Raw genomic sequence first — 19,618 nt, 5'->3', positions numbered from 1 at the left:
ATTAAAGAAAGAAAAAATGAAAGTAAGGAAAGAAGGGAGAGAGAGAAGGAGGGAAGAAGGGAGGAAGGAGAGGAGGGAAAGAAGAAAGGAAAAGGAAAACTGATAAGTATAGAAAAAAGAGACAGAACTGTCATTATTCACAGAAGATATGACTTAACTTAAAAACCCAAAGAAATCACAGAATATAGAATTAAGAGTGATGAGAAAAATTGTTAGAAATATAATTAATACATAAAAATCCAGTGTATTTCTATTAACCAGAGAGAAAAGGTTAAAAAGCATAATTTAATAAAAGTTACAATGTTGAATTGCTATAAAAATTTAAGAATTTGGGAGTAAATTTAAAATCAGATGTAGTATAATTTATAGAAAAATCATCTAAATGTAGGAAATGACAGCAAAAAAAGCCATAAATAAATGTAGAACTATCTCATATTGGTAAGTAGGAAGATATCATAAAGATGTCAGTTCCTCATAAACTAATTCAAAACCTCAATGTAATTAAATCAAATTCACCAAAGTGTTTTACATGAAAATCCAGAAGCTGGTAATAAAATTCATGTGGATGATAAAGGCCCAAGAATATCACAAGCACTTCTGATCTTGAGTAAGGGAGGGGAATCACCCTACCACTTATCAACATTTATTGTAAATCTATACCAATCAAGGCAATGTGGAATTGGGGCTGGCATAGATAAATTGACTATGGGACAGAAAATGAATTCAGAATTAACCTTTCCCCTTCACACAAACTTGATACAGGCAGCGCTGCTCTGCACATTAGTGTGGAACCATAACAAGAACTGCAAGCTGAAACTATGCAAGCCATCTTAATAATCAACAGGGAAAAATTATGACTGCTTGATGATCTGTAAACATTTTTTCAAAACATCAAAAAATCTTTACTGTGAATTTAAAATGGCTATAAAAAATAAAAAGTAGCAACACTAATATTTAATGCACTATAATTTAAAACATTAGTAACACTGAAAATTAAAATGTTTTATTTTTTCTGTTTGGTGTTTGCCTTCTTTTTCTCATCATATAATTTATAATACAGAGGAAGCATCTTTTGCATCTTAGCAAATTATTAAACTCCTAAATTTGGATCAGCTTACAATATTTTTTTCTTTGTGTTTTCAATGTCATAAAATATCTCAGAATTCCTTTAAGTGAAGTTTTTATCGACACCTTCGTCCTTTTTGTCACCACCACCTTCCTCATCCATGGACATCAATTCCCCTCATTAATTTCCTCTTGCTGCGAATCTACAGTCTCTCAAATGGTGGCAGTGTCAACACTTTCATGGTGGTAAATTATGTCTATAACCCCATTTATTTTAGATTTGAACTTCACTTCCAGCATTGCCACTTTTCATTTCTTTGATACACTTTCATCTTTCAATTATATATTGTTATGAACTGTCACATGGATTCATTATTGGTAAACAAGGAAGCAACACAACTATACACTTTGCTGTCTAGGCATATACTGATAAGAAATGCACCATGACCCAGCACCAACAGACAGACATTGGAAGAAGTGATGTGACTGGTTGCTGATGAGAATGTGCATCTGTTATCCACATAGTGATTTGTAGACTAAAAAGCTGGCAGCAAAGTTTGTACTTATGCAATTGCAGTTACTACAGCATGGTAGCTGAAATTTGAACTATGCTGTTTGGGGATTTGTGTTAAATAAATCATTGCAACTGAAATTTGTGCATATAGATTCCATGCAAAGCAATGACTTCTTGTATAAAATAAAGATGACTTTGTAGAGCTCTCAAGTGAAGACGAAGCAGTCAATACAGAGTGGTAGTACAATTGATGATCCATACGGAAAAGAATGAAAGTTGATTCCATCCTCGTATCATACATAGAAATCAATTACAGATGGAGTAAAATTTTAAATCTTAAAAGCAAGACTTAAAATATATGTATGTGGATGTATAAACTGTAGTCATTAACATCAGGGACACATTCTGAGAAAGGCGTCATTAGGTGATTTCATTATCATGCAAACATTGTGAGCACTTACACAAACCTAGATGGTATCGTCTACTACACACCTAGGTGATATGGCACAGCCTATACTCTTAGGCTATAACCTGTTCAGCGTGTTACTGTACTAAATACTGTAGGCAACTGTCACACAATGGTAAGTATATGTGTTTCTAAACATAGAAAAGGTAATGTGTTTCACTGCAATATTGCAAAGGCAGTGATGTTACTAGGTGATAGGAATTTTTCAACTCCATGATAATCTTATGGGACTACCATCATATATGTGGTCCACGTTAACTGAAACATGGTTATGCAGCACATGATTCTGCATATATATATATATATATATATATATATATATATCCATTTGGAATACTCTGGGGGTAGAGAAGACTTTCTTAAATAAGACACAAAATATGCTGATAATTTAAAAATTATACTATACTCTTAAACTACTTTAAAATTAAGAATTTCAGCCATTAAAAATAACACTAACTAGAGAAGATACAGTGCCAGTCACTGCTAGTTGCTCTCCCTTTCTTGGCATTTCTGCAATGCGAGAGGCCCACATCTCCCAGATGTCTCTGCAGCCACAGATGAACTATGTGACTAGTTTCTCAGGAATGAAATGTGGCCGGAAGTCATATGCGCAGCTGCCATCTTCCATGCTCAAAAGACAGTGTTGCAGGGGACTTTCCGTCTTTCATGTGCTGTAACCAGCTCTGACCACACAGAGGAGAGGAGATTTAGGTGATGGAAGAATAGCAAGGTGGAAGGACCTGGTCCCTGATGGCTGGCTGGGAATGGCTCTCTCTTTGCGGCTGTTACCTGTGTGTGGAATACTCTGCTATCTTTAAAAAATCTTTTTTGTAAATCACTTTTTATTAGAGGACCTTTACCTTTACCCTAAATATTATGGACAAGAACATGTATTTCCACAGACAAAGAAATTCAGTTAAGGATAAAAAAAGAGAAGAAGAAAGAATGCTCACTGTTCCTAGAAATCAGGGTAATGCAAATTAGGGCCAAAGAGAATACTATTTTATACCAACTTACGTAAAGTAAAGGCAAAAATTAAGTGTACCAGGTGTTGGCGAGCATATGACGTAATAGAAGTTCTTATATACTGTAGGTAAGAGAAAAACTTAGTTGAATCACTTTTGAAACTAGTAGTTTATCTTAGAGACCCAGATATGATCATATCCTTTGACCTACCTAGCAACTGACTTCTACGGATTTACCTTAGAACCTGAGGTTTCTTAGCCTCAGCTCTGCTGACATTTGGGGCCTGATAATTCTTTGTTGTGTGACTCTCTTGTGGTGGTAAAATGCTTAGCAGTATCTCAGGCTTCTACCCACTATGTGCTGGTAGTAACACCTACCAGCTGTGACAACCAAAACAGCCTCCAGACATTGTCAAATGTCCCTAGGGCGCAAATTTGCCCCCAGTTGGGAACCACCCTCCTAGAAGAACTCTTGCTTCTGTGCATTACAAAGTTTCTTTCAGGCTGTGCCCAGTGGCTCATGCCTGTAATCCCAGCACTTTTGGAGGCCAAGGCGGGTAGATTACCTGAAGTCAGGTTTGAGACCAGCCTGGCCAACATGGCAAAACCCCGTCTCTACTAAAAATACAAAAAATTAGCTGGGCATGGTGGCATGAGCCTGTAGTCCAAGCCACTCGGGAGGCTGAGGCAGAAGCATTGCTTGAACCCAGGAGATGGAGGTTGCAGTAAGCCAAGATCACACCACTGTACTCCAGCCTGGGCAACAGAGTGAGATTCCATCTCAAAAAAAAAGAAAAGAAAAGAAAAAAAGAATGTTTATTTCAGCTTGTTTGTAACAGTCAAACTGGAAACAACACAACTATGCATTAACAAGAGATGGACAGATTAATTATGTATTACTATGCAATAGAATATTACACAGTGGTGAAAATCAACTATTGCACTACACATGAAAGTGGGTAGATCTTGGAAACAATGTTGAGTTAAAAAAATCATGTCACAAAAGAGGGCATATGGCACATCACAACTTTTACAAGGCACAGAAACTATCAGTGTTTTCAAGTATCCCCACATGATTAGTAAAGCCTTTCTTTAAAGCAAAGGTTTTTGAAATCATGAAAAAATTTAAAACTCAGGATGGATACTTTGTGGGAGAGGTGAACACAGGTAGAACCACCAGTACTGGTAATGTTCAGGCTTACATTAGGTAGTGGGTTATCAGACTCCAAATAATACACAGTTTGAAAAGAAAATATGGGAAAAGAACGTAACCTGGATACTCTATTATGGTATACTTTTCTTTTAGTGTAAAGAGTATTCAGAATGTAGGAAGGGTAGTTTCATTAAAGAACTTTAAAATCATGTTATAGTAATTACTTTTCACTTGCTTTAACTGGGTTCCTTAACTGAGTTTCAAATAGCCTAATCCCACCAGTCAGAGAAGCCCATTGAAATTTCCAAATATCCAGCCAAAACTTGGCCCTCACCTCCAGCCTACCTACCACATTTTCTTCTTTTCCTGTGAAGGTTTTTACATTCTTCCAGGTCCCTTTGTCAAATGGACAATAGCACTGTGAAGGTTACTTTCAAATATTTATCATACTTCATTCTAACTTAATGTAAGTATTTCATATGTGTCTGTCACCATAGGCCCTGCCTGTGAGCACAGACACCCCATGCATCTCACTGACATTTGCATCCACCCAGGGACTGGCATCCTGCAGTCCCTCAACAAAGAACCCTGGGGACGCAGTCTGAGGACCTCTGGAATCGGGACCCCTGGAGGTGCTTGTGTTGCAAGAGACAAACAGAAAAGCACATATACCTCTGATTACTTGGTACCCACACAGGCAGAATCTCTGGGGTGGGCCCAGGGATCTATTTTATTTAAGATACTCAGATAATTCCTAAATGTTTTGAAGTTCTACAAATTTGCTACAAATTTGAGTCTTTACTGAAGCTTTCTATATTCCATTTGTGGTTAGATAACCCTAGACATAACTGTATTTGGGTTAAAAGAATAATACTGTATGTGGCTTCTTCTTAAAAATGGAAAGAAAAAAATAACTTGAGAATCTCACTATTGTCCCTCCCGTACCTGCACATTTTTTTGTTAATGAGTATTTCCTTAAAAAAAAAATCAGTATTTTGGAAGTTTATTGCTCCCTCCATCAAAGCCATTTCTATATGAGTAAATTAGCCATGTAAACATGTTTAAAATCACAATGTCCCTTTCATTCTTCCTTCTGTCATTTTTATTCTTTGTATCAAACAACCTTGGCTATAATATTTTCACCTTCAAATGTGCAGCCTACCTCTTCAAATAAATGCCTAATTCTCCTTCCTTTGCCTGCAATAGTGATTGCCCTGATGTTGTGGTGGCAGTTTTCTCTACAGCACCTCAATTCTGGCTTTTTAGGATGTGGGTTGGATGTTCTAACATTGTTTCCATCCCATGTCACAAAGAGGAGTCTGAGAATAATTTTTTAAAACAAGAGTCTGGGGGTTCTACTAACTGTTCTGTTCCAATCCATGCCAAAGTCTACAGCTCTGACTGTAACTAGCTATCCTGAATATCCATGTGCTGCTGGCAAGGGAGGCTTGGGGCAAAAGCAGGAAATCACAATAAAAGTTTCCATCCTTCATAAAAGTAATCTAAAAGGCACCACACTCTACAGTGACACCACTCTGCAGCAACCCAGCACTACAGTAACACTGCTCCACAGTTAAACAACTCCATACTGACACCCGTCTACAGTGACACTCATCTACGGTAACACCCCCTACAGTGACACCCCTCTACAGTGACACCACCCTACAGTGACACTACCCTACAGTGACACCACCTACAGTGACACTGCTCTACAGTGACAATGCCCTACAGTGATTCCTCCTATACTGATACCACTCCATAGTGACAACGCTCCACAGTGACACTGCTACAGTGACACCACCCTACAGTGAAACCCTGTACAGTGACACCACCCTGCACTGACACCACCTACAGTGATACCACTCCATAGTGACAATGCTCCACAGTGACACACTCCACAGGGACACCACCCTACAGTGACACCACCTATAGTGACACTGATCCAAAGTGACAACACTCCACAGTGGCACCACCTATAGTGATATCACTCTGTAGTGACACCACCTTACAGTGACACCCCTCTACAGTGACAGTGCTGCTCCACAGTGACATTGCACTACAGTGACACCACCTACAGTGATACCACTCCACACTGACAACACTCCACAGTGACACTGCTCTGCAGTGACACTACCCTACAGTGACACCACTCTGCAGTGAAACAACTCTATAATGACACCCCTCTGCAGTGAGCTGCTCTATGGTGACACTGCTTTACAATGACACCACTCTACAGTGACACCAGTCTACAGTGACATAGTCTACAGTGACACTGCTCTACAGTGACACTCCTTTACAGTGCCATGGCGGTGCACTGATGCCACTCTGCAGTGAAGCCACTCTATGGTGACACTCCTCTACAGTAACATCACTCTGCAGTGACATCACTCTACAGCGACACTACTCTACAGCAGCACTGCTCTACAGTGACATCAATCTACAGTGACACTGCTCTACAGTGAGAACATTCCACCGTGACATCACTCTATAGTAACATTGCTGTACAGTGGCACTGCTGTACAGTGACACTGCTCCACAGTGACACCACCTTACAGAAACGCCACTCTACAGTGACACTGCTCCACAGTGACACCACCTTACAGAAATGCAACTCTACAGTGACACCACTCTACAGTCACAGCACTCTGCAGTGATACCAGCCTACAGACACTGCTCTACAGTGACACAGCTCTACAGCAACATCACTCTACAGTGACAGTGCTCTGCAGTGACAGCGTTCCACAGTGACATCACTCTGCAGTAACATCACTCTACAGTGACAGTGCTCTACAGTGGCAATGTTCCACAGTGGCATCACTCTGCAGTAACATCACTCTACAGTGGCATTGCTCTACAGTGACACCACCTTACAGAAACACCACTCTACAGTGACACCATGTATAGAAGGAAGCATATTATGTCATTCCTTCCTCTATTCTATTTCTTACTTCTGCTTTTTTCTAATAATTTCCTCTATACGATCCTGAACTCGTTGAACTATGTGTCTATTTTCTTTCTATTCACTGCTACCTCACCTTTTCTGCTTCTGCTCCATTTGGTTTCTGTCACTATGGCCACTTTAAGCTCTTCCCATTCATTTTAAAGAGATTTACTGAAAATCATTTCACTGATTTAAATATGTTCATTCAGTAAATGGTCACTAATTAAACTATACTGTCAGGCACAATACTAGACACTAGGAAAATGAAGATGAATACTACATAATTCTAGCCTTTAAAAAACTCAAAATCTAGCAGAAAGAAAAGAGGAATATGGAAATCAATGTGATAAATGGTTTCAGTACTATGATATAAGTTATAATATAGAGTTACATTTTAGCAGTAGAACTGAAGTTTGAATTTAATAGCTCTAAGGGAGCCAGTAGGAAAGATATGAATGAAGTGGAATTGACAGGTCTTGGTTGATAGCTGTGCCTGGGGAGAAGACATGGAGGGAAAGGTCGGATCAGGGATGGTGTTCAAGCAGCGCGTTTGCTGAAGAGTGTGGGATAAGGGACCCAGGGAAACACAGGGACAGACACAACAGACATGCAACTGTGAAGAATGCCCAGGGTGTCTGGAGATCACACACACGCATGCACACATGCATGCACACACCAAAGCTTTTGTCTTTCTAGGAAATTTCCTGTGTAATATAATCATGTGCTTGTACAAGTCATGTAATAAACTCAACCTGACAAAACTTCATAAATTTACATTAAATATATTTAATGTAAATGTATATAATTTAATATATTCAGTCAATAAATGGTCACTATATAATTTAATTAGTGACCATTTATAACCTTACATTATATTTAATGTAAATATACCTAATGTAAATATATATCATAAATCTACATTAAATATTTACATTAAATATATTTAATGTAAATTTATGATTTATAAATATATATTCTATAAATATATTATAATTATAGTATATAAATATAATTATAATATATTCAATGTAAATTATATATAAATATAACTTCATATATTTACATTAAATATAATATAAAATAAGATTATTTTCTTATCTGAATTTTATATGACCTGTACATTTTCCTGTTCTTTCACCTGCTTCTTATACGATTTTTCATAAATTTGCAAAATAAACTTCTTACCAAGAAACTAAATCTTACCTGGACCTGTTCCATCATGACTAATCAGAACTTTCTTCAATTTTCCGAGAGATACAGCCTTAATGGAAAAAATATCAACCTGTACAATAAAGAAATAAACTCAGTGACCATTAGGATATTTCCTTTCTCTAGAAAAAAAATAGTATTACTATTGATACTATATTGTTACTATACTATATAGTATTCTTACTACTACTATAAAAATTACTATTTTATGTGCAAAGTTCTACACTATGCTTTGTGAGAGACACAAAAACATGTAGAATATAATTCTTGCTCTCCTAAGTCACAGAGTCTAGTGAAAAAGATTTTTAGAACGTAATTAGGAGATTTATTTTAAATCTACTCTTACTAATAATAACAGCTCATAATCCGTACTATATGAGTAAGTGCCAAACTCTCTCAAGTGTTTTTCATATATTAACTCATTGAATCCTCACAACAGCCCATAAGGTCAGTACTACTCACTTTCTCATTTCACAGTCGAAGAGACTGAGGCACCTAGAGTTAAGCTACTTGTCCCAGGTCAACACCTAGTGTGTGAGGAGCCAAGTCTCAGACTCAGGAAGCTATCACCAGAATTGGTGTTTTCCACATTGTTCTGTCTCTTAATATCTTTTACTTTTAAATAAACTATGTATTGAAATATGTATATGTACATACATATACATACACACGCATAGGACGTTTTAAAATAAACTATGAAGTAGATACAGGTATACAAATTACAAATGCACACTCAACAAACACATCCATGTAAGTAACAGAGCCTTATCAGCACCTAAGACCCCAACATGCCCCTCTCAGTCACTGTCTCCCCAAACGATATCCACTATCTTGACTTTTAGCACTTTTATTTTGTTTTGCCTTGTCTGGGACCATATATCAACAGAATCCTACAGTGCATTCTTGCTCCACCTGGCTTGTGTCATTCAACGTGAGATTCATCCATGCCATTTTGCTCAGCAGCGTCTTGTTCATTTTCATTACTGAATATTACTCGAAATTATTTATCCACTCTACTATTTGTAGACAAACATTATTCCTAGAATAATGCTGCTCAGAACATTCTTATATGGGTCTTTTCATGATATCTGCATATATTTATGTTGGGAAACAGCTGGGTTATAGGGGGTGTGTGTGTGTGTGTGTGTGTGTGTGTGTGTGTGTGTATAGTAAGTCTCACTTCCTAAAAATACTTATACTAATATGCACTCCGTATGCGAAGCATACGAGAGTTCAAAGTGCTCCACAGGTGAATCAATATTTATTGTTATTCTTTTTAAGTTTAACCATCTGATCATGCACAGTAACACTTCACTGTGATTTTCATTGACTCTTTCTGATTATTAATAAGGCTGGGTAGGCTTTTTATGTTTATTGGTGATTTGGATACCCTCTTTTGTAGAGCACACATTCAAGTGTCATGCCCATGTTTTAAATAGGGTTTTCTGTCTTTTTCTTGTTGCTCTGTGGTTTTCTATACACAGTCTGCAAACAAGTCTTTTGCCAGTATGTTTTTACAATATCTTCTCCCACTGTGTGCCTTCCCTTTTTACTCTCTTAATGGTATCTTGAGGAACAGAAATCTTTAATACTAAAATAGTATAATTTATCTTTTTCCCCTTTATGCTTTCTGATTTGTCTTTAAAGTTTTAGCTTATAACTGTCTAGTCATGTTCATAGCGACATCATTCACAATAGCTAAAAGGCGGAAGCAACCCAAGTGTCCATCACGGGGTAAATGGATAAACAAAACATGAAATGTTTTGAAATATTATTCAGCCTTTCAAAGGAAAGATGTCCTCTCACATGCTACAACATGCATGAACAATACAATGGAATACTACTCAGTCTCGCGAAGGAAATAAATCCTGTCACATGCTACAACATGCATGAAATTTGAGGATATTATGCTAAGTGAAGTTAGTCACAAAAAGAAAATACTGTATGATTCCACTTATATGAGGTACCTAGAGTAGTCAACTCATAGACACATAAAGTAGAATGGTGGTTGCCAAGGGCTGGAGGACTGAAGAATGGAGAGTCGTTTAATGAATACTGAGTTTCAGTTTTGCAAAATGAAAAGAGTTCTGGAGATGGACGGTAGTCATGCTTACACAATAATGTGAATGTACTTAAACCATTATACTGTAAGAAAATTATACTTCAAAATGGTTAAAATAAATTTTAGGTTATGTGTATTTTGCCACAATTAATTTTATTTATTCATTTATTTTTTGAGACAGAGTCTTTCTCTGTCACCCAGGCTGGAGTGCAATGGTGCTGTCTTGGCTCAATGCAACCTCCAATTCCCGGGTTCAGGTGATTCTCCTGCCTCAGCCTCCTGAGTAGCTGAGACTACAGGCGCCTGCCGCCACGCCCGGCTAATTTTTGTATTTTCAGTAAAGGCAAGATTTCACCATGTTGGCCAGGCTGGTCTCGAACTCCTGACCTCAAATGATCCACCCACCTCGGCCTCCCAAAGTGCTGGGATTACAGGCATTAGCTACTGTGCCCAGCCCACAATTAAACACTTTTAAAGTCCTAATCAACCCCCTAGATTATGAGGATTTTCTTGCATCATTGTCTTCTAGATATTTAATTGTTTTACCTTTCACATTTAGATATAATGTTACATAAAACTGATTTGGGGATTTGATGTAAAATAGAAGTTGTGATTTTTTTCTATAACAATATCCAATTTAAAAATTTGTTGAAATTTTTCAGTGCTTTCTCTGATGCTGCACATTAGGATGTGTGGATATGTTTCTGGACTGTCTTCTGTTTCTTTGCTATATTTGACTTTCTTTGTACAAATTGATGCTGTCTTAATTACCTTAATTTCATAAGTCTTGATACCTGGTACTGTAATTCCTCCACTTGGTTTTTCTTCTTCAACATTATTTTAGGTGTATTTGACTGCATTTCCACATAAATTATATAATTAGATTGCCAATTTCTGTTTAAAAAAGTTTCTGAGATTTTGATTGATATTACATTAAAACTGCAGATCCATTAGACAGCAGGAAGAACTTTATAATACTGAGTCCCTGAACATAGTATATTTCTTTTTCTTTTATTTTCTTTCCTTCATTTCTTTTCTTTTCTTTCTTTCTTCCTTTCTTTCTCTTTCTTTCTCTCTTTTCTTTTCCTTCCTTCCTTCCTTTCTCTCTCTCTCCCTTTTTTCTTTTTTCTCTTTCTTTCCTTCTTTTTTCTTTTTTTCTTTCTTTTTCTTTTCTTTCTTTCTCTTCCTTTCTCTTTCTTTCTCTCTCTTTGTTTCTCTTCCTTCCTTTCTCTTTCTTTCTCTCTCTCTTTCTTTCTCTTCCTTCCTTTCTCTTTCTTTCTCTCTCTCTTTCTTTCTTTCTCTCTTTTTTTTAGAGATGAGGTCTTGCTAAGTTGGGCTAGGCTCAAGCAATTCTCCTACCTCAGCTTCCCATGTAAGTATGTTTTAAATTTTTTTCCAATAATATTTTATAATTTTTTATTTAGAGGTCTTGCCTTAGCCACCTCAGTGCCTGTGGTGCAATGGGCCATGGGCCATGGATGGAGTAACCACAATGGCAGAGATGGAGTTTATCTGTGCACGGCCATAAGACATGAGTTCTGTCCCCCAAGGCTGCTCCCATCACTGCTGCTCCTGGTGCCCAGTCTGGTGGCTCTGGTCCTAGAGTGATCCAGTCCCTGCTGCCAACAGCAGTGACTTATAGAATGCACACTTCCACTGAGTCTTCCTCTTTACGTCTCTCTCTCTCTCTGCCTTCCTTCACTGCTGCTTCCTGGGATCACTGCTCTCAATGACGAGCTGCAGGACCTGTCCCTGATCTGCTTCAAGAGGACTCACACTATCGCCACTTTTCAAGTGAGAAATCCCAGCCCCATGAGGCCTCCTAAATCTCTGAACAGCATCTCAGACTCTCCACTCCTCCACTGCTACTTTCTGACTGGCTTCTTGATTCCAAGCTTCCCCTTACAAATGGTGGAAAGCCATGCTGATACCATGTTCTCCTCTGCACTTTATTTCTCTCCAGGATCTTGGGCCCTCAAGCCCTAAACGCCTGGGTAGCTCTGTCATACCTTTAAAACCAGTTTAAAAGATGTTTTATCAAATGTTTCTAGTTGTTCTCAGCAGGATGTTCATTTTGTTATAGCTGAGTCTGCCCTATCTGGAAGTAGAATATTGTGTTTGTTGAGTTAAGTCCCATCCTCTACTCAACTCCAGAACAATAACATGCACACTAAGAAATGACCACACCTCCCTGAATTCCTCACAGGAATCAACTGAGCATCTCAGAAATTTTCTGTTTGTGTGTGTTTTTGTTAAATAAATTAAAGGAACGATAGTCGGTAAAAACTGATGAAGACCTGTTTCTATTACCTGTCCACGCTGAAACTTGATTTCATTGTTTTTGGACTGATGAAGTCTTCGTTTTCCTGAATCACCTCTGGTACCGATGAGGTTGATAAATACATTAGACTCTGTTTCTGCACCTGTCATTGTGCCTGTGTATATGCGAATCTCATAAAGCACCACTGAAATGTAAGAAATCTGATATTATCTTTCTCATTTTTATTTATCTCTTTGAATGTAGTTAGATATTCTGCAAGGAAATCAGAATGTTCTTTCATCTAGTTGATGATACTTGGCCCCAACTCTTTTTCTTCTATGTACCCCCTTTCAAACATACTTCCAGCTACTTAATGTTTACCTCATTCATACAGACTCAGCTATTCCCAGAACTACTGTTTCAAAATAATTATTGTTAGCAATTATGTACTTTCAATAACCACTGCACTTTCACAGTTATTATGAAAAGATGTATTTTTTTAAAAAAACAGAAACTCTCCTCTCTCTTTATTAGATGAAAGTGGGCATTTTTCCCCCTAAAGTCTGGCTGTTCTAATCACAGCTGGTCACTCATGCTGCTACTTCTTGGAGATTATTCTAACAATGGAGATTTTTAATAGCCCTCTTGACGGAGAAAAAAAAACAAAGATCCTAGAGAGATGCAAATTTAAATATATATTTTTTCAAAAAGTCCAGTAAGGTACCAGCAAATTATAATCCACTGTATTTGTCCTTAGAATTAAGGCAAATTCTGAGACATTGATAGAAATAAATAATTAGAAAAGCGATTGTTCTTGCTGATATTACTAGTAAGAATAATATCTGGGATACAATGAGTACTTTTTATTCCAAGATCTTAGAACTCTTTATAAATCATACTTTGTGCAATTGAGCAGTTACATTTATAGAAATTCACATTAACATTTTCCGAAGAACTCAGACATGAAAATCCAACAAGTAAGGAAACAAGGTAAGTGAGAAACATTGGCTGTTTCCATCATGCCTGACCTTTATAAAGACAAATGTGGTATATTGGGAAATGGTATAAGCAGAGAAGATACATCAGTTTCTTTGTGCAGGCTTACATATTCAAAAATACCCCAGAGTGAAACCCAGCTGAGTGTAAGCAGAAAATTAGAACACTTCTCATGAATTTAGGACAACCAAAGAAATATTTCAAGCAACCTATAAAGAAGAGCTGGTCTGACAACATGTGGAACTGCCTGGACTGAATTAAGTGAAAACTTCTCCTAAAATTCTTCATGAAAACAAGTATGATGCTTGTGAGGACCAGCATGATTTGACATCTTCACATAGAGAAACCAGGCTTCTGTTCACTGAGAAATCTTTTAAATTTCAGATGAAGAGTGAACTTGCTTATGATTTTTTTAAAGGGAGACCTTAAAATATTAAAACAGATATAAAGTAAGACAATTAAATGAATAGTTAAAGGTGTTTGAAAGTATACATAAAAAAGCATTTAGAACACAAACTCCATATTGACAGCACAAAAAGCAACACTCAGCCCTTCCTCAACCATCACACGGCCCTAATGAAATCATGCAGCTTCCTGCTAACCTGCACATGGCCTCAGATACTTCTCAACACAGTGTCCCCAGAAGCTGCTCCAATTGATTAGGTTAAATACATATGCACCTCAAAAAGTATGCACGCACATGCACACATGCACGCACACACACACACACACGTACGTGTACTTGCCATCTAAATAATTCAAAGAAAGAAAATGTACCAGAAATTTAGAACAAGGTGGTTATCATAGTTGAGCACTAACTTTTATTCTCAAACCGAGTCAAAAAGAGTTACATAGTTTAAATTGGGAGATGAACAATACACAATTCCACCCACCCCACCTGGAGAAACAGACATTTTTGCTGGAATCTGTAACATTGACTTCGTGTTCATTATACTACATAATATGATTCACTAAGCATTTGCTATAGTAGTACAACAAAAGCATGTAAATTCTTTTTTAATGCTAAATTCATAACAATAAATTATTTCAGACTTTTTTTCTTGATCTTTAAGGCAATATGAAATTCTTCTTTATCTAACTTAACCCAAAGGGAGAACTTAAATAATGCTTAGTTAACATGTCACTTAGACACACCCTAAAATATCAGGTGTTGTAAACAATTCTGAGTAAGCAAAGATTGCATCAGCTCCTTTCTTCAGTCCTTCTCCTTGGGCAGGAAAAGTCAAAGCTCAAAGTTGTTGATTTAAAAGCAGGGCCATATGCCCTAGCTAACAAATATTCATTCTATTGTAAAAAAGTACAAGGCTGATAAATTATCTGACCTCAAGGGAAGGATATATAGAAGGAGATGAACTCCTGGGGGAGCTCAATGATAAGTCTAAAATATGTAAGAAGAGAACTTAAAATTAGCTAGAATACTTGAAAAAATACGAGGATAGATTTCAAGATGTCAATGTTTTCCAGAATGGAGATCATTTTACCTGAATATATTCAAAGACAGGTATTACTAATACCTGTCATTCAGGCTACAGATAATCTTCTTAAAGTGCCATTTTTTAGAAGTGGCTATTACTGCATCTATCACTGTCATTTAGCTTAAAGTATTTGAAAAAGTAGATTTGTTGTTGGTTATCCATCTATGTTGGACATTTCTGCCAAATTTTTAAAATTTCTTTTTATCATGGTTGATGTTAAATTTTCCTTTCTGACAATTAGCAACTAACTTCAGGTGCTTATGAAAACCTTATATGACAAAGCCAGAAGCACAGCATAAAATGTTTTTCCTCCTATTTGCCACAATTGTCACCCAATTCAATTGATAGCTACACTATGTATTTTCACTATTTTTTCACTTTTGTTTGCAATGTCGTTATCTTCAACACTCTCATCTTTATTTTTTTATTATTTATTACCATTTTAACTATTCCCCCATCTGTCAAGGAATGCATAACCCATGTATTATCAAAGCTCAGCATGTTTAATGTCTGATTTCTTTAACTTATTCATTCTTTGGGCTTATAAATGTGCAGACTACATAAATAAGATTTATATGATCTTATTAGTGGCACAAAAATCTTTCAAAATCTTCACCTGCAGGTTTATTTTCAAACATCTTTGTAGGCCCAAATTTTTGCTAAGTGTTTGTTAATGATGATTTATCAGCCTCAACTCCAAGCATTAACAGCTCCATAAATAGTATCCTTAATCCCTGGATTCTTCAGTCTCTGCTTACTGTAGCAAGCACAGAATTTTTTTTTAATATACTTGCTTTTCATGGGGACATATAATTGCTTAGTCATAAGGATATATTTAAAATGTCACATGGTTGGGGAAGGGGGATGATAGGATTTTTCACTAGAAGTTTAGGAGAGGGATGTGCAAAAAATTTGTCCAAGCACAATGACTTAATTTTTTTTTTCCAGTCCAATTTTACTGCAATGAATGAACTCAGCTGCTTAGTCTCCTGGTTGGTTGTTGAACCAGTAAAAAACAAAAAACAGAAAATACAATGTACTTCTGGTATTTTTTTTTAATTTATATAAGAATGCACAGGTGAACTGTAGCCTCCTTCAGAGTTCCAGGTGTTGGCATTCCCTAACTTCTGCCTGCTTAATGGACAGCCTTGCCACACCCAAGAATGGTTGACCTGGCTTAGTGTCACTGGTCTGAGAGCTTATCAGTCATTATGAAACTTCTCTAAAATATCATCCTAGGCCACGTGCAGTAGCTCACACCCGTAATCCCGGGACTTTGGGAGGCCGAGGTGGATGGATCACTTGAAGTCAGGCGTTCAAGACCAGCCTGGCCAATGTGGAGAAACCCCATCTCTACTAAAAATACAAAAATTCGCAGGGCGTGGTGGCAGGCGCCTGTAATCTCAGCTACTCGGGAGGCTGAGGTGGGAGAATAGCTTGAACCCAGGAGGTGGAGGTTGCAGTGAGCCGAGATCGTGCCACTGCACTCTAGCCTGGGCAACAGAGTGATACTCCATCTCAAAAAAATAAAAAGAAATAAAAGAAAAATATCATCTTGGGAAAGAACTGTTCTTCATCACTAAACTTTTTTTATCTCTTTAAATATGTTCATTATAAGTCTTCAAATTTTTAGTTTCTTTGTTATAATACCACTGCATCATGATCTAGTCTCTATTTTCTTTTGACACAGTTGTACTATACAGATGTTACATTATTTTGGCTATGAGTTCATATTTCTGTGATGATACAGGAGTCTCTGTCCAGCAGTGTGTATGGGAGAAGAGCCTTAAACCAGATAGCATCTGTGTTATCTGCAGCTATATCATTGGGCCCAATCCACACCAGGCAGGGACAGAGGATGATCAGGACATATCAACAACCAGACACCTGAAGTTTATCTCTCCCTACCGCTCCTGCAAGCACTCCACCAGGACCTTGTCTTCAGGCCCCAGGAAGAACAGGATAGGAGGAGGCACTCCTTAGAAGCCAAGGAGCCCACAAGCCTTGGGGCTCAGAGGAGAGTGCAGAAGCAGGTGGAAATTGCCAGAGACTCCTAAGCTCCACCTGCTGCCTCAGCTCCTCACTCAGGAACTTTTGCTGCCCGAGATGACTGCCAAGGATGCCTGCACCAGATATCTGAGCCCACACATAGGTGAGGCATGGAGAAATGAGAGCAAAACTGCAACAGGAGGGAGAAGGGACAGGAGAGGAGGGAGAGAGAGCGATCACATGTACTTTCATGTTGTGGGAAATTTTTCTAAAATTAAGAGCAGATTAAATCAAAACAAAAGCTATATATATTTTTTACAGGACTAGAGGCCAAAGACACAGAAGTAATAGAAGTGAGAGGAGACCTGCAGGGAAGAGAAGCAGCAGCTGTTTGATTCATTTTGCAATTCTCTACTCAGAGCCCCGCACTGCTCCGGGGACTAGCCCTGAACAGTGCGGGCTACTTAGCTGTCCCCAAAAAGTGGACCCCACACACACTGCCCCAGAGCCTGAGCTGGGAAACAGAGACAGTGGTAGCAGGAAAGTGTGAAGAACCATGACAGCTTAATGAATAGCAGCAGGTTGGATAAGGCCAAGGGCCTGTGATATCTATCAGCAATCAACCAAGAGAGTAGAGGGGCTCCCAGAGCCTAAAGGTAACCGAGTACAGTTCACCAGTCAGCAGCTATAGTGCCTGCTGCCTATGGCCTGGATGGCCTCGTCTCAGAGAGCCAGTGGAAAGATCGCACAATCTAAAATGAACGCAGCCAGAACAAAGCCCTGCTTTCTACCATTCAGAACTGGAATTCCATCTGCCAAAAGATCATTATTATCACCATCATTCTGGCAAACATATCAGGATACAATTATGAGATTGTAGCTGAGACTTTTCTTCCCTACATTTTTCTTTTTTGCCCTGAGGGCCCTGGGGCCTCCGGGAGTGACATTTATTTCTTGGGGGAAGACAGTTCTGAGTAAGGTCTAGAACAAAAAGTCCACTGATTTCTGAAACAGACTGAAAGAATCTTAGAAGAGACATCACTTGTGAAAAATGTGACTATTCATTGTAAGAGTTTTTGAAAAAATCTCTCTCTTTTTTTTACAAGAGTGCTGGAGAAAAAATTCCCTTTTCTATCTCCCTCCCTCCCCTCTGTCTCCTTCCCTCCCTCCCTGGCGTCTCTGACTTGACCTGAGAGATGCACCAGCAGATGCTGAGGGTTGGATCTTGGGGGCAGCCCTGAGGAAGCATCCTGTTGACCAAGCAGCCAGGAGGAGAGGAAAGGCAACAGAGTGCCCTCATCAGCTCTCATCCCTGCTGCTAAGAGAAGCATGGAATGGCTGAGATCAGTGTGACAGTCCCAAAGGGACACATTTTTCTAGCTAGGGTGGCACAGAAACCAGAGCTGTGGTGTGATGTGTGCTTCCTTCAGCAGACATTACCAATGAGGGAGGAGGTGACTCCCAAAGACAAACAGAATGAGACACCTCAGGGAAGGCCAAAGAGAACTGAAGGTGGCCCTCGCACCTTCAGACATGAGGATGATATCCAGGAACTAAGGTATCCGTATGGAGTATTAAGAGGGGCAGAAATGAGAAGAAAGTATATTGAATTGGTCAGTTTTAGACCAAAAGAGACTAAATTCAACTCTATACTGGAAGTGTCTGAGTTTATTTGGAGTCAAAATGATTAAGATTTCCACCATCAGTAGCAACAAGGGTGTGGGTTATTTGTTAAGTCAAGTATGTTGAAATATAATTTACATGCAGTAAATTTCACTTTTAAGATATAGTTTGATGAGTGTTACCAAATGCATACAGTCTTGGAACTACTACCACAATCAAGATAGGGAATATTTCCATCACACGCAATACTTTCCTTAGGAAGGGCTGTAGACTATAATCAGTTGTGGAGAAGGAAAAAGGTTATATTTTGCACCCCTCAAAGTTATCATTATGAAGATTCAAATCCACCACATCATGGTGAAAACAATGCAGATATAGCAGTAACCTGGACCATGTCTAGAAAGATGGCCTTATACACGACACGTGTCTGTTTCTCAAATGAATGTATAAAGGAATTGAAGCCAATTAATTGTTTATAATATATACTATATTTAGCATAGTTCTGTCTTTAATCTGGATTCCATTGTAACGGTCATCTCATATTCTTCTTCGGCCAAGAAGTTTTTCTTTCCCTTGGTGGCCCATTTCTGATTACACAAGGTAAAGTGAAAACTGCAGACATGTGGCAATGAGGGCAGCCCTTCGCAAAGCTGGCTGGAATGGAGTAACTTCACTATTTAGAGACCAGAAGTTTATCTGTTGAATGGAATTGAGTCTTCCCCTATCAGACTTCTATATGTGTCTATAAATGCATAGAACATTAGGACCAGTAGATGTTTCAGGAGGAAGGGCCACTTCTAACCTAGTCTAAGATGTTGCGATTGAACATGAGCAAAGAAGTACTGAGGACCACAGAATTTTGGCCCCAGAAGCAAAGGA

General features: G+C 38.2%; 1 protein-coding gene across 6 annotated transcripts in view; it reads right to left on the bottom strand.

The window, feature by feature from the left end:
- The window catches only part of RP1 (RP1 axonemal microtubule associated), a 312,050-nt gene that overhangs the window by 5,821 nt on the left and 286,611 nt on the right, over nt 1–19,618 (bottom strand). For all 6 annotated transcript variants that reach the window (XM_047422069.1, XM_047422070.1, XM_047422071.1 and 3 more), the window contains 2 exons: nt 12,686–12,840; nt 8,308–8,386 (listed from right to left, as the gene is read on the bottom strand). In XM_047422069.1, the coding sequence (XP_047278025.1) occupies nt 8,308–8,386; nt 12,686–12,840 (234 nt within the window). The remainder of the gene's footprint in view (nt 1–8,307; nt 8,387–12,685; nt 12,841–19,618) is intronic.

Source organism: Homo sapiens, chromosome 8 (genome assembly GCF_000001405.40).
Source record: "Homo sapiens chromosome 8, GRCh38.p14 Primary Assembly".
NCBI classification, from domain to species: Eukaryota; Metazoa; Chordata; class Mammalia; order Primates; family Hominidae; genus Homo; species Homo sapiens.
Note: the sequence above shows the minus strand (reverse complement) of the source record. Positions and strands in the feature narration are given on the sequence as shown.